Source organism: Homo sapiens, chromosome 6 (assembly GCF_000001405.40).
Source record: "Homo sapiens chromosome 6, GRCh38.p14 Primary Assembly".
Taxonomy (NCBI): domain Eukaryota; kingdom Metazoa; phylum Chordata; class Mammalia; order Primates; family Hominidae; genus Homo; species Homo sapiens.
Window position 1 is genome coordinate 54,008,027 of NC_000006.12, and position 16,301 is coordinate 54,024,327.

Sequence of the window (16,301 nt, forward strand, 5' to 3'; positions counted from 1 at the left end):
ATTCTCCTGCCTCAGCCTCCTGAGTAGCTGGGACTACAGGTGCACACCACCATGCCCAGCTAATTTTTGTATTTTTAGTAGAGACAGGGTTTCACCATGTTGGCCAGGAGGGTCTTGATCTCCTGACCTCATGATCCGCCCGCCTCGGCCTCCCAAAATGCTGGCATTACAGGCATAAGCCACCACGCCCGGCTGGAAATATATCTTAATGTTAACTGTGGTATATTTGAGTTGTGGTTTTACAGATAATTTAAAATTTTCTGTTTGTACCTCTTTGTGTTTTCCAAAATTTCTGTGGTATATATAAATTTAGTTGGTAATAAAATAAAACATTTATTTTATTTTATTTTATTGGGGGTGGGTTTTGGAGCGGGAAGTTTAATAGACAAAAAAAAAAAAAAAAGGGAGAGGAAGCTGCCTCATGCTGAGAAAGGGGGTTGCCCAAGAGAGTCTCCCAAAAGTTCTATTTTTAATGAAAAAATAATTACCTTAGTCACCAAAACAGTATTGTCAGTCTTCCCTTCTTATTCCAACAGATGTGGAAGTTTAAGAAAGAAAGAAAGAAGGATGGAAGGAGGAATAGAGTGTGGGCTGCCTGGGATGCTCTACCTGTGGGCTTCAGGCCCTCTTATTTTTCTCTAGGGGAGTGTTGATAAGGACTGGGATTTGTTCCTGGTGGAGAAAATCCAAGGCTTAGAGTAGGTAGTGGCTGAGAGGTCTAGTTTGGAAGTAAATATTAGTTTTGAATCCTGGCTCTATCTACTCTTTTCTCTCTATGTAGACTTGGAAAATTACTTAACCCTTGCTAGTGTTGGCTTTCTCATCTGTGAAATGATGCAGCTAGCTCAAGGGATTGTTGAGAGCACAAAATGAGATAGCATAATCAATCATTTAGCAGAGTTACTGGGTCATAATAAGTGGTTGTGGTGTTTTTTTCCCATTACTGTTAGGTGACAGACGTAAATCCTCTGTAGATACTCTATTAATCCTCTATTTCTACTGGCTTTCATTATTTTTGTGTACGCAGACATGTCCTTCTTTCTATATCTCTAGCCATTCTAAAAGTAGATAAATCAGTGCTTCTGAAACTTGAATGCCCATATGATTAGCCTGTAGACCTTATTAAAGTGCAGATTCTTTCTCTGTATGTCTGGGGTGGGATTCACGTTTTTAATTTTTAACAAGCTCTCACATGATGTAAATGTTGATGTCCAAAGATCACTTTTAGCAGCAAGGATTAGGATAGCCCAGCTCAAATCTATCATCTGTGTGAAATCATGAACAATGTCCCCAGACAGAATCGTCTTTTGTTTCTTTGGCTCTTAAAGCACATCATTTATATTCCTAACTTAGCACTTAGCACATTCAGCCTGCTGTGATGTATACAATTCTGTTCATTTCTAACTAAATTCTTGACAGTAGACTGTGCGTTCAACTCCTGAAAGCTGTCAGTGTCCACACAGGGATGTTGACATACTCGACCCATGATTATCAAATTATTGAACTGGATAGAAAATAATCGAATAATGTCCTAAAATAACATTGTTTTTTGCATAAGCATTCATTTAGAAATCACCAACATCAATCAACTCAACTAGTGCAAATCATGAAAGAGAGTAGTGGTGTGACCCACACAATGGATGGTTTTGGTCGCTTGGCAGGTGTTAACCCAATGACCACAACCAAGGAGGATTTACCAAGGGGATTTTTGTTACTTGCAACAAGTAAGGAGAACACTGGGGATAGTTCCCAAAGCAGTGTGTCTCTCCAAAGGAAGATGAGAGCAGGGCTTTCATTAGGCTGGTTGGCTTAGTCATTGTATGAAAGGCAGGGTAAAGGCAGTGCAGGCACAGTCCTGATCATGCTTCTTCATATATTGCAGGTATAGAAAATGGTGAATAAGCTCCTCCCTAGGTGGGGTTTTTAAGTATGGTAATAGGGAGAGTTCACCAAACTTCATCTCCAACTCAGGCACCTCTGGTTTTACCTGGTTTTTGTTTTGCTATAGCTGGGCTTCTTCCTGGAACCTTTTGAAACAGCAGAAACTCAGTGTGCCACAGTTACAAGTTACTAGGGAACCCTGAGTTACAATGTGAATGATCCCAAAAGGCAAATAAATTGTGATAGCTTCCTTCTTTTAAAAATACACTATAGAAGGCAGGTGGGATGATTTACAGGGTGGGATGACAAAGCTAATCTGAGATGATATATTTTCCACAGATAATCAAGTAAATGAGCAATAATTTGCTTTTCAAATTCTGAGTCTCTTCCCTGGCTATGCTTTAAATGGGACTTCCACATGGGCCATAGCCCAAAGTTGGATCCCTTTGCACAGAGGCTAGACATTGAAGTAGTGGCCTTTGGGGTAACGCAGACTCACTTCTGTTGAGAGTAATTAGCGAAGAAAATTTGTGGGAACTGAGGAAGGTTCAGCAGAAGTCTGCCCTCTCTGGACATTTTTTGGTGGCTGGGAAGCAGGGCAATTGTCCTGCCTGACTGTGGAGTTTGTTCAGCCTTGTCATGGACATCTATTGCATAATTCCGACTTTCCTTCTCTGGAGTAATGGACATTTCACTTCAGAAGGACTTTTAATTTTACTTAAAAAATCCAGTCAACATAATAGAAGATAAATTCAATTTTCAGTAACATTTTACTCTGTTACCACTTATGTCCTTAGGGAAGCTTAAAGAATTTTCATCAGTACACTAAAAATTAGATAGTTGGATATGTTGCAAAACTTTCAACACTTGACTCAAAATTCCCACTATTGCTAAGACATTCTTATAAAGAAATATTTTGGGGGGAACTTAGCAACTACGGTTCTTGTGAAGTGGTCCCAGTGGGAATGAGGTTTATGCCAAACTCTTTTTTTAAAATTTGGTTTCTGCCTCTTGTGCCTGGTATCCAGTATTAGTTACAGAGTAAACAGTATTTTCCGAAGACTGACAGGGTCAGCTGTTCTGGGAATGTGGCCGTTGACCTCCCTGATGGATTACTGTCCTGCAGACTGCTTCCAAGTCAGTAGAAAGGTAAGCATTCTTTCTGTATAAGTGCAGATTGCTTTGGAACATGTTACAATTTCAACTGATAAAACTGAAAGTACATTTTGGGCACACTGTCTCAAAGGGCACCGAGCTGTTACTTTGGGGGCAAAGTGATTTATCATGTCAACACAACCATGACAGTTAAGCTGCTGGGTTTGGGGGAGGGGTGAGCTAGGTGTTGAATCTGGTTGTATTGATTAAGTCAAAAAGACCCAGAAAAACTTAAATCCGGAACTCCTTTCCAAAGTTAGAAAGACACATTGTAATTCTGCTTCTGAGTCCTTTTCCCTAAAATCCTGTCAGTTCACCTTGGTTTGTTGTCTTTACTCCTGAAATAGCAACGGTGTGTGTGTGTGTGTGAGAGAGAGAGAGACAGAGACAGACAGACAGACAGACAGAAAGTGGCTACTAGGAACTACTAGGAAGTGTATCGACCGTTGAAAGGGCCTAGAAATATATTGACTGCAAATGCAAGAGCAAATCCTGTTCAACCAAGTACCTCTGTGGATGTAACCATGCACAAGAGAAAATAAATTGAAAGCCCCTTGAAAACGTGCTATTATATAGTAGTTGAGAAAACGGAACATGCTGGACTTGATTCTCAACTGATTTTAGCCAGTTTGTTTTACAGACTCTGAAGGTATGAATTTAGTTTTATATCCGAATTACTATTGCTATGTAGAAATTGTCACCAATGTTAATAGCAGTAGTTTTTTAAAACCTCACATTTTACTTTTCAATAAGTTTCCAATAAAGGAATTGCATTTTTTTAAGATGGTGCACAAATTAAAAAAGCACTTTTCAAAGTTCTTACAGTTCTCACTTGATTCAAATATTTTCTAATGCTTCAAAAAACACTCTGCCTCAGAAGTAATTTTAGAAAGAACATGTTTTCTCCCTTAGATGGACTAAAATGTATTTTTTATAGTCATTCAAAAAATATGGCCCAGAACCAAAATAAGGGGACAACCAGTATCAGAAGAAGTTAAAAAACTTACATTCCAGTAGAAATAGTTTATGTTTCACTGAAGAACAGTAATTACAAAGGTACAAGTTTGTTAAGCTGTCATTATCATAATTATCATCTACTGATATTTTGGGGTTGGCTTTTTTATCTGCTTGGCAGCTTCAACTTACAAACAATATTTGTTGTATAGTGACGAATTCAACTTTAAGAAATTCCTCTATAGACATTATCTTTTCACAAGCTCTGAGTACCCACCACAACTTTTAGAACTCAGTACTGCTTGCCTACAGAAGCCATCACGGATGCCTTAAAAAGGGTGGTGATGGGAGGTTAAAAGTCTTCCCGTAGAAGAGTTGACAGCTGCTCCTTAAGAGTTTGCAGCTGCCAAAGCTGATAAATAGATTCAGGTAAGGATGCTGAGACAACCAGAAAGAGCTGGGAACCATTCTCTCGCTTGCCTACAGCCACCTCCCTCCCCAATGCTGTGACCACCAATTGGAACACAGCTTTCTAGAGACAAAGGCATAAGCTCTGAACTAAGAGCAACACCAACAGATCAGAAGTTAACTGTTTGAGATCAGTGCTCAATGCTGGGTCTGAGCTACATTTGGATTAGGCCCTTGGGTACCTGAAGCATGTGCTGAGTATAGTATCCTGGTCCATCACTAAATGGGTGTGGAGATTACGTGGGCTTCTGAATTGATCAAGGGGGGAATAACGGACTCATGTTCTGGATGGGCTATGTGGAATGATAAGAAACCTTTATAAAAGCATCAATTGTCCCAGAAGATGACCCCTGTCTTAGTAAAAAGATATTTATCCTTGGAGCATGTAATGGGGAAGATTCTGGGTTGTCTATGCCATGTTTGGCAGATTGTCATTCTTTCAAAAGAAAACAGCATTTGTTTTCATTCGTGCCTTGTCTACCTTGTGAGGTTTCAGCAGTAGAGCACCTATCTGTGCTTTTTTTGTGGAGAAGGAAGTTTTTTAAATGGCAGGTGAGGGAAAATCACCACAATTAAAGTTAATTTACATTTGGATCTCTGATCCAGTAAATGAACAAGCAATTTTAATTGCTGCAAGTTCCACTTTCCCCCAGTTTTTGAATACAGGCACAAATTCATCAGGCACTTATTTGGGAAGCAGGTGTATTGAATGCAAAGGAATGAAGTGAGGTGGCAATATCTTGAACCAAATATTATGTGCCAGCGGTCATTTGTTTCCATTTTGAATGGAATTCTTGCTTGGTTACTGCAGTTTACATTTTAATTTCCTGTTTGGAGGGACCCTATGTGTGTAGTATATTCCTGGGAAAAATAATAAATTTCCAGCTTAAAAAGGAATTACAAATCTTTCTTTGTCAATTTTTTTTAAAAAAGTAATAGCCTTCTTAATGTATAATTTATATGCTATAAAATTTATCCTTTTACGCTGTACATACACTTTGGTGATTTTTAGTATATTTTCAAAGTTGTACAAAATCATCACCAATGTCTAATTTCATAACGTTTTCATCATCCAAAAGAGTAACTCTGTTCCCGTTAGCAGTCACTCCCTGTTCTGCCTTCCCTCCTACCACTGGAAACCACAAATGATCTTTCTCATTCCATGAATTTGCCTATTCTGGACATTTTATGTAAATAAATCATGTAATAGGTGGTCTTTTGTGACTGGCTTCTTTCACTTATTGTATTTTCAAGGTTCATCCATGTTCTTGCATGTATTAATACTTAATTCCTTTTTATTGCTGAATAGTTTTCCCTGTATGGATATACCACATCTGTTTTACCATCCATATACTGATAGATATTTGTGTTTTTTCCACTTTTTGACAATTACAAATAATGCTGTCATGAACATTTGGGTAGAAGTTTTGTGTGGACACATGTTGTCACTTCTCTTGTGTATATACCTAGCAGTGGAATTTTGGGGTAATATTGTAATTCTATGTATAGCATTTTGAGGAATTGCCACACTGTTGTCTAAAGTGGCTGTGCCCCTTTATGATTTCAGGAGTAATGTAAGAGGGTTTCAGTTTCCTCACATCCTTGCCAATGCTTGTTATTGTTTGTGTTTTATTTTAGCCATCCTAATAGGTGTGAAATGTTATTTCCTGGTTTTGTTTTGTGCTTCCTAATCACTATGATGTTGAACATCTTTCCATGTGCTTGTTGGCCATTTGTTTTCTTTGGAGAAATGTCTATTCAAATCCTTTGTCCATTTTTTTACATTGGGTTATTTGTCTTTTTATTGTTGAGTTGCAAGAGTTCTTTATGTATCCTGGATACAAATCTTTTATCAGATAAATAACTTGCAAATATTTGCTCTTATTTTCTATTTCAGTGGTTTCCAACCTTTTTGCTTCCCAGAAGACAATTTTTCCACAGATGGGGCTAGGGGTGGGGGATGGTTTCTGGATGAAACTGTGCCACCTCAGATCATCAGGCATTCGTTAGATTCTCGTAAGGAGCATGAAACCTGGATTCCTTACATGCGCAGTTCACAATAAGATTCACGCTCTGATGAGAATCTAATGCTGCTGCTGATCTGACAGGTGGTGGAGCTCAGGTGGTAATGCTCGCTCAGCTGCCACTCACCTCCTGCTGTGCAGCCCATTTCCTAACAGGCCACAAAGTACTGGTTCATGGCCCAGGGGTTGGCGATCCCTGGTCTAGTTAATTTTTTTGCCACACTTATTAGGGTTTGGATAGTATCTTTGAAGTCACCTTTTTCCTACATAAATGTCATGTCGACCAGGGAAAAAATGTCACACGCTTTTACTGAGAACCTGCTTGTTGCCAGACATTCTGTTAGGTTCCTTACACACAAAATTTACCACACTTAATTTTCGTAACAACACATGTGGTTGGTATCATCCTTCTATTTAGGGGACAGGGAACTGAGACTCCGATAATTAAGTAAGTAGTTTGCTCAAAATGAGCCAACTAGAGAGTAGCAGAATCTGCAAACAAATTCAGTTGTCCCTGCTTCCTAAATCCATTTCTTTCTCCCTTAATAGTTACGTGAGTAGGATCTGTGTCTTGAACAATCAATATGGTATTCATTGTAGTATGATTTGTGTTGGATTAATATAATTTTATTCCTGTTTCCTATCAAAAGTCTTATAAACGATTATGTATTAAGTGTCTCAAGTCTCATTCATTGGATCCATTTTCTTCCCTGCCCTCCCTCTCATTCTCTTTTCCTTCTTTGATTTTTTTCTTTCCTTCCTTTTCCTCTTGCCCTACTTTTTTTCACAGGTATTTATTTAGCCCACACTACATTGTACGTGCCTGAATAATATGATGAATAAAGCACAGTTTCATGCTTATACTCTAGCAGGGAAGGCAAACTACAAAGAAGTTCATATGGATAAACTTAACATATAATGTGACATAATTTAATACCAAAGATGATAGGAGCTATGAAGAAGAAAACAGCAAGTGAGTGAACAAAGAGTGATGGGTTTGCTGTTTGTGGTGGGGAAGGCCTGGATGAAGTGAGAAGGGAGCTACGTGACTATCTGCGGGGAGAGCACTCCAGGAAGACAGCTCCCAAGGAAGGAACATGTTTATTGTGACTGACAAATGGAAAGGACACCAGAGTGGCTCAGTCTCTTTTCTGTTTGACCAGCAAGTAGATGAGAGCTAGCTTTTGCCTGGGCATAATTTCATCTAAAGAAAGCTTCTGTGCCTCAGTCGTATCTAAAATATATTCAAACGTATCTCTGAAAAGGCATGGAAGAGAGAGCATTCACCACACAGTGCTGGTGCTGTTTACCCAGTCTCCTGCTACACCTGTAATGAAGTGATTTGTTCAGAGGAGAAGCTAAAGTGCATAGCGGCTGGAGAGGAGCTTAGGCGAGGGGCCTTGATGGCTGCTTATTAGTTGTGTAACTGTGTCTTGCTTTTTCAACTCTGAAATGGGTATGTTAGTTTGATTTGGCTGTCCTACCAAATACTACAGACTGGGTGGTTTAAACAACAGAGGTTTGTTTCCTCAAAGTTCTGGAGGATTGATGACTGAAATCAAAGTGTCAGCACAGTTGGTTTCTTCCTTTTATAAATATTTGTAAATTTATTTTTTATTCAAAAAATTTTTCCACCTCTAACTTCGTTGTGAAGACTATTTAGTACAGCAAATGTTATGGACAGTTTAAAGGATTGGGGCCAACGTTAACTGACCAAGAACAACTTCCATCTAAATCATCACAAAAAATGTTTAAATAAAGAAAGAAAAAAGTAAAAGTAAAAAAGGGGGACAACAGGAGCTTCAGGTTGAACAAGACCCTCACGTTTATCTAATACATTCAATCCTAGCTAGAGTGTAACAAAATGGAAACAGGAACACTGTAATCCTAAACTTCCATTACAGCTCATTCTTTGTACACACCTGTGAAGCCCACCCTCATTTCTCTAGTGCTCCCAACTCAATTACATCCTAGTCTGTTGGGACTGCTGACTCAGGAGCATATAGAACTCTTTAATCCTATCTTTGTTGTAAGGCTGGCATGTCTGGGTATTAGCTCGCTAAACCAGGCAGCTGAGGTCTGCCAGATCGTCCATAAAATCAAACAACTGATGATATCAGTGTGACAGAGGGGCTGTTGGGATCATTCTCTTCAGATATTCTTCATTTATTTTACAAATGCCGTCCATGCATTTGTTCAAAGATTCATAGTCAGCCTCAGTTCTGTCTTCTGGCTTTTTGGTAGGCTGTGCCAGCAAGATGGTGTGAGATCGCCCACCAAACTCTTCTCACGGTAGCTGCTGCTTACCCTGCAGCACCAGGGTTGGTTTCTTCTAAGGCTGCTCTCTTTGACTTATAGATGGCCATCTTCTCAGTGAGTCTTCACAGGGCCTTCCCTCTGTGAGTGCCTGTGTTCTAATTTCTTCTTAGAAGGAACCACTCATAATGGATTAGGGCCCATCCTAATGCCTTCATTTAACCTTAATTACCTCTTTCAAGAACATTCTTTACATACAGTCACATTCTAGGGTATTGGGGGATGAGAACTTCAACATATGAATTTTGGAGGCACAAATTTAGCCCATAACAATGGGGAAGATAATAATATCTACCCTCTAGAGTGATTTTAAAAGGGAATTGAAATAACATTTGGAAAGCCTTAAAGCGGTACCTAGCGCACGGTGAGTATGCCAAGGAACTGTGCTATATGAGGGTTATTATCCTGCTACTATCCAGTCGCACCTCGGTTGTGAGTTTGTTGAGGGCCAAAATCCAGGGATTGTATTTGTAAATTGTATTATTATTTTCAATTATTTTATTTAAAAAAAACTACCTGCCCCTAGGATAATCTTTATCTATTACAGGCACTCAGCACATGTTTGTGTAACTAAAACTTTTCATGCCTACCACATCTCTTCCAAATCACTACCATATTCTCATCTGCCAACCAACTCTGCATCACACACACCATTCCTTTTCCTCCTAACCGGATCCTGGATTCAGTCTTCAGGCATTAAACTCGCATGCTGAGCACGAATTGAGTTTCCTTTTGCAGCCACAGCATGATTCTTTTTTTTTTTTTTCTAGAGAGGTTTAGGAAGTTCGTTCACTTAAGATTTTAACAATTGCCTTACTTTTGACACATACCGATCTTGCATGTTAATCAATCTTTAAGACTTTTGTTTTCCAACTTGTTAGAACAATAACCAGCATAAATAATTTCCTTTCTGGAATTTACATTTGAGTGAAAAGAGGAAGCCCCTTTTGCCCATGAATCTAATATGGTGTTTCTGAATTTATCATCCTGAAGGATAGGTTTATTGCCTACTCAGTGTTTCACTTCTGGAGTCTTCAAACCTTCCATCATGATGCAGAATAAATTCTGGAGCAACCCTGCCTGACAACAGAGGATTGACTGCAATCGTTTGAAAGGACAGAGCTCCACAACACATTTTCTGAAATGTTTTCTTATGAAGGAAAAGCTGATAGGGAATTTGAGTTAAAGTAGACAAAACAGAACAAAACAAAACCAAAACCAAAAAACAGGTGTTAAAAGGATGTTTTAAACAGGCTGAAGTATTAAATCACCATAGAGAGCAGTCTTAGTTTACTCTGAAATCCGTTTCTATTCTTCTATTACCTTCCACATATTTTGTTTTGCTGCAAAACACAGGGAGAACTATTTACCATTAAGTTGCCCAATTAATTTTCTTTAAGGCATGTAACATTTTCTAAAGAAATCTGAAAGTACTTGTTCCACTGAAAAAAATGAGATTTATCTTCTATATCATAACTTTGCTCCCAGTGAAAAAGCCAGGATAATGAAGAACAAAATCCATTTTTGTGAAGGAAAACACTTTTATTTCATGGTATTTTTAAACATCATTTTGTCAACTCTCCATGGAATAAAGTTGACAACACCCCTTGAATATATATTTGCATGTCTTTATAGTTTTAATTTGTTATACTTTTGCTCTTCCTCTTTAAGCAACATTTTGAAAAATCTACAAAGTAATACAAACATATCTACAGTACTAGGTTGCAAATTGGAATTTGGAAGCGCTAGATCTGCTGATTTTATTTGCTATCTGACTATCACATTTGTTCTTTTTAACTGATTTATTAGGTCTGTATTCTAGAGTATATTTTATTCTGTTGCAACAGCTATTAATGAATTCTTTGATCGTGGATTTTTGTCACATACATCTGTATTGGTTCAGGGAGCCTAACCTGTTGGAACATTCTGCTGAAGAGTTTGCTTTTATATCTAGGGACATTTATCATTATCTAAGGCCAGCTGCCTGACTTCTCTTCAGTGCTCTGTTTATAGGGTTTGAACATCTATAAATGGAAACACTAGCTAACCAGAAATTATCGCTAGGGCTCTCTGATAGTGTCCTAGGCTCTCACAACTTGGAATGTCCTGCAATATCTAACATGTAAGCACGTCGAATCATTTTCTAGACAGAATCTGAACCTCTGTGTCTCTCAGTCTTTCTCTCTTTCTCATTCTCTTTCAATATGGAACTTGAAAAGCGTGAAAAAAGAAGCTTATTAAACAAGAATTTAGAGGAGAAACTGACGGTAAGACATGAGATTTAGCACACACAGATTTATAATGAAATTGACAGGGTAGTAGAGCAACTGTCATAGACTGGAAAAGTTGTGCTAGCCGGCCTCTGTTTCCATGTTTTGCTGGTCAATAACTTTAAAATTAATGAGTTCCATGGGCTTTCCTGAAAATAATGTAATAAAGTTATATATAAAATGCCATTACACAAATGAGGGCAAATTTGATTTAGTTAAATGATGTGGTTTATCGTCATTTTAAAAACTGGAATCCATTTATTTTGACCTCTCATTGTGATTGCCTCAGCACTGGAAGATTGTTTTATTTACGTATGCGAAGCTTAGCGAGTGTTCAAATCCATTTTTTCTCAGAGATACCAGGAATATATGCCAAGAAAAATAAGTATTATAGAATATATTAATGTTTTATTAAGTTTAATGAACTTCTGGTATAAGGATAAAGTTTTTTGCCATAGAAGTTATACAAGTAATTTTGCCTTGATACTAAGCAATTAAATGTCAATGATTAATATGGTGACTTACATTTGCTCAAATACAAAATAGACTATAACCTTGAGTTAAATGTGCTGTCCATGGCTCATCTGATGAGCATAGGTCACTAATTATGTTTGTAAATTTACTGTGGTTATAGAGTTAACATTGGAACAGGTCATAACTAATGTTAATATCAGCATAAATAACAAAAAGTAAGATAATATAGCCCATAATAAGACCAAATTCATGGGAATACATTGTTCTAGATGTATGAAGTTGAGGTTTATGGACTATTCAAGATATTAAAACTAGAAAAATGGAAAAAAGAACCATACTGGGTTGAAAACTCTTGAAGTGTATTAGAATTTCAAGGTCTTAAAGTAATATATTTAATAAAATACACAACCTTTTCTTAAAGGAATCAGGTCATCATTTTCAGTACCCACTTTGTACCTCTGCCCTAGGTGATTGTCCAGACATGTAATGGCCACAGAGTATTTTCCTTTCTGACTATTTGGAAAGGCCATGTGTCCTTGTAGAGCTAACCAGGGATTTTGAATCAGAAAGGGCTTGGTGAAAATTCTTGCCCACAACTACCAAATATAAGACCATGGTTTTGTTTAATCTTTCTGAGTCTCAGTTAATTCATGTGTAAGATAGGGAACAGTAATAACTAATCTGAAGGCTTTTGTGAAGAATAAAAACTATAATGTATGTGAAGTCCCTAGCCTAAGCCTATTTTTAAACTGTTTTTGGTCTGATTCACTTAAAAAGCACATGCCCAAAGTTTACTAATATGGAAAGAAAAAAGTTAAAATGCATTTAAAAGTAAAAAGGAAACCCAGATATGGTAAGCATAAAGGCTTAGTGGTCATAAAACCTTTATGAAACCAGATAGGGAGTAACTAAATACATGAATAATTGGTTGCTATGAATTAGTGTGAAATTTGACCCTGAGCTTCCTGGCAGTCTTTTACAGGAAGTTTTGCGAGTAAACAGAGGACATGGGGCAAGTGCACAAAGTGAAGATGGACTCTTCTTATTCGAAGTGATTCGATGTATTAGCATTTCACTTTCTGGAAAGTCAGACATTGTGCATGCCTGACTCTATCTTGAATACAGCTATAAATCTAGAAGTGAGCAAAAACCTTTCCTTAGAGGAAGTAGCTGTCACAAAACTCATGAACATTACTCTGTAGCAGAGGCCTAGGTCTAGCCTCAGATTGACTTCCAAAGATTGCGGGGAAATATGGCGGCACATCAGAGGCATACGAACATTCACCTGCATTGAGAAGAGAGGCTGTTCTAGGGGTGGCAGGAACACATGAAAGCCCAGTGTCTGGGGTAGTTAAGTGTACAAGCAAATAGAGTTAAGGAACCTGGCACCTTTCAGATACAGGAGTTCTGATGACACTGTTATCAAGAAAAGTTTTGCCTATGCTTAGTATTTTCTATTTAAGAGAGTTGGAAAATCTATATCTTTGAGGGTTTCCAATAAAAGTTATTTTGGCTGTTTATGTGAATAAATATCCAAAAACTTCAGTTCATCGAGCATTATGTTTCATGTTAATACCAATGTAACACAGTATGACTGGCTAGGTTGCTGAAGACAGTTGAAAAATGTATTTTTGTGGAGTTCACTATTTTCTGAAATTTATTCAATTTATTTATTATAAATAGTAAAGTTCGTAAAAGTCTGGTTTTTAAAAGAAGAAAATATTTTTTCCATTAAAATATTTAAATATGTGTACATTATAATATTGTGTTATACGTTTGTTAAAATTAAAGCTGTATCTCTCATAAGGATCTTTATTATGAACAGTGCTATAGTATGTGTCACGCACTTAAGCAATATGTATTATTGGGTTTATTTGAAAAAATTTCTAAGGTAAGATCTATAGTAAATAAGTAAGAAAGTCACCAGTCTGCAGAATTTAAAAATTCATCAGTTTATTACACACAAAGATAAAACAAGACAAAATAAGACAAAGGCAAGACACAAGTAAAACAAGATTCTTTGCTACACATCCAATATAAATCTTATCTTACCCTGGGTGAGTGAATTGCTACTTTTAAGTATTGATTTTTGCCCTGAGTTTATTGCTGTTTGCTGATTAAAAGATTGCTAGGTACTTAACCAATTCAAGGTGACTCTTTTACATCTATTAATCAATACATAATCAGAAATAAAGGAATGATATCAAATTCTTCAAAATTTCTTAAATCTACCAATGCCAAGTGAAATTTCTCATAATTTGGTTGATGTTATTCCAATATTTCAAACATGAGAAGAAAAATCAATTAACATGGACTTAAAAGGACATTTCCACCTCTTTGAAAACCATCTATTAAATCATGTGGAATATCTTAGTCATTGATTCTGCTAGATGACAATAAAGCTAATTTTTGTGGGAAATGGTAGAGAGGTGCAAGAAAGGAGGAAAGTATTTTGTAACAATATGTTTCAATTTGGTTAGTTCCACCATAATTGCTGTTGAGGTTGAATGGATCTTTTGTTTTTCCTATCATGTATTTTCTAAACTCTGTTCCTGGGAATTCTGATTTTCCAAAATGCTTCCCAAAATGTAGTTCTGGTTTGTGTTCAAGAATATTCAGAAAACACTGAGCAGGAAATGCACTATACAACACATTTCCCCTTGGAGACTCGTATCTGTATTGTAATATACTAAAGACTGTGAGGCACTCTGGAGGTTAATCCAGTGTTTCCTAAACTCGCCTATCACTGTAATATATTTTAATGTGTGTGCAATAACAGTGAATATTCTGAGGAACTAGCAGTGTTCTCTGCAACATATCTTAGGAAATGACCTGTTAGCATATGAATTTGTAGTCTGATTTTATTTTTGAGTTGCATTTTTGGAATAATGATAGACAAAGAGATACATTCAAGCTGGGTATATTTGTATCTATAACATGAAGTTACTTCTGGAATAGTTTTAAGAAATAGGTACTAGTTTCTATGTATTATGTTAAGTAAAACTAAGACAACAAATCTTGACTATTTTCCAAATGTCTTTAAGACTATAAGTGCATCAACAAAGAGTATTACTTATATTTACCTTCTACTGAAATTTCATAATGAAAAGGAAAAAAAAATCATTTATTACTATAGTAAAAATGATCATGTACCTCAGGGCATTCTGATAAATAATGGTTTCTTTAAGAGATTATAAGAAGAAACAGATCTCATGCATAAATTTAATAATTTCTATTGTATTAACATAATATGTCTCAAGACAATTTTATCTTCTCAAATAATGAATGTTCAGTAATATTACAAAAATAATGATAATGGCCGGGCGCGGTGGCTCATGCCTGTAATCCCAGCACTTTAGGAGGCCGAGGTGGGCGGATCACGAGGTCAGGAGATCCAGACTATCCTGGCTAACACGGTGAAACACCATCTCTACTAAAAATACAAAAAATTAGCCGGGCGTGGTGGCAGGCACCTGTAGTCCCAGCTGCTCGGGAGGCTGAGGCAGGAGAATGGCGTGAACCCGGGAGGCAGAGCTTGCAGTGAGCTGAGATTGCGCCACTGCACTCCAGCCTGGGCGACAGAGCGAGACTCCATCTCAAAAAATAATAATAATAATAATAATAATAATGATAACAAGAAGAGTATATGATTCAACTTATTTTATATTGAGACTTGGTACAATCAAATCAACACAGTGGTCAATTTCTAAATGCCATAAATATTGCTACCTTGAGTAAAAAAGCAACTCTTTGAGATTGAGAAAGAAAACAGGTCATCTGACATTAGTTTTCTTTAACAGCATATATCTAATATAAGGAGCTGAACAATTATATTTTAAATAATTTAAATTTTACTTTTTGTATTTAAAAATTTGATATATTTTGAATTTGAGAGCGAAAGACTTATCCAATGATATGTAAATTTACTTATGATCTCATAATAACATTCTTCTTGATTTCAGAAAAAGGAGTTCATACCATTTATTTATTTTTTATTTAATTAATTAATTTATTTTTTGAGACTGAGTTTCACTCTTGTCGCCCAGCCTGGAGTGCAGTGGTGCGATCTCGGCTCACTGCAACCTCCGCCTCCCGAGTTCAAGCGATTCTCCTGCCTCAGCTTCCCGGGTAGCTGGGACTACAGGCGTGCACCACCATGCCTGGCTAATTTTTGTATTTTTAGTAGAGACTGGGTTTCTCCACGTTAGCCAAGCTGGTCTCAAATTCCTGACCTCAGGTGATCCACCCGCCTCAGCCTCCCAAAGTGATAGGATTACAGGCGAGAGCCACTGTGCCTGGCCCATACCACTTATTTTTAAATACAGCAAAAGAGAAAAGAAATGGAAAACAAACAAACAAACTGTTGTTAAAATGTAAAGCTACAAAGAATTTTAGAATTCTGTGATAATTCAGTGAAGGATAGCTCTTTAAATAAGGTTAATTAAATTATTTATTTATTTTGAATTCGAGTTTCACTCTTGTTGCCCAAGCTGGAGTGCAATGGTGCAATCTCGGCTCACTGCAACCTCCGCCTCCTGGGTTCAAGCGATTCTGCTGCTTCAGCCTTCTCAGCAGCTGGGATTACAGGCATGGGCCACCATGCCCAGCTAATTTTGTATTTTTAGTAGAGATGGGGTTTCACCATATTGGTCAGGCTAGTTTCGAACTCCTGACCTCAGGTAATTCGCCCACCTTAGCCTCCCAAAGTGTTGGGATTACAGGTGTGAGCCACCATGCCCAGCCTAAATTATTTATTAAT

General features: G+C 37.3%; 1 protein-coding gene and 1 pseudogene across 10 annotated transcripts in view; one reads left to right on the plus strand and one right to left on the minus strand.

The window, feature by feature from the left end:
* ERHP2 (ERH pseudogene 2) lies at window positions 8,262-8,797 on the minus strand (annotated as a pseudogene).
* Window positions 10,944-16,301, plus strand: part of MLIP (muscular LMNA interacting protein) — a 247,311-nt gene continuing 241,953 nt past the window's right edge. For all 10 annotated transcript variants that reach the window (XM_047419509.1, NM_138569.3, XM_024446579.2 and 7 more), the window contains exon 1: window positions 10,944-11,065. In XM_047419509.1, the coding sequence (XP_047275465.1) occupies window positions 11,003-11,065 (63 nt within the window). In that variant the 5' untranslated portion in view covers window positions 10,944-11,002. The remainder of the gene's footprint in view (window positions 11,066-16,301) is intronic.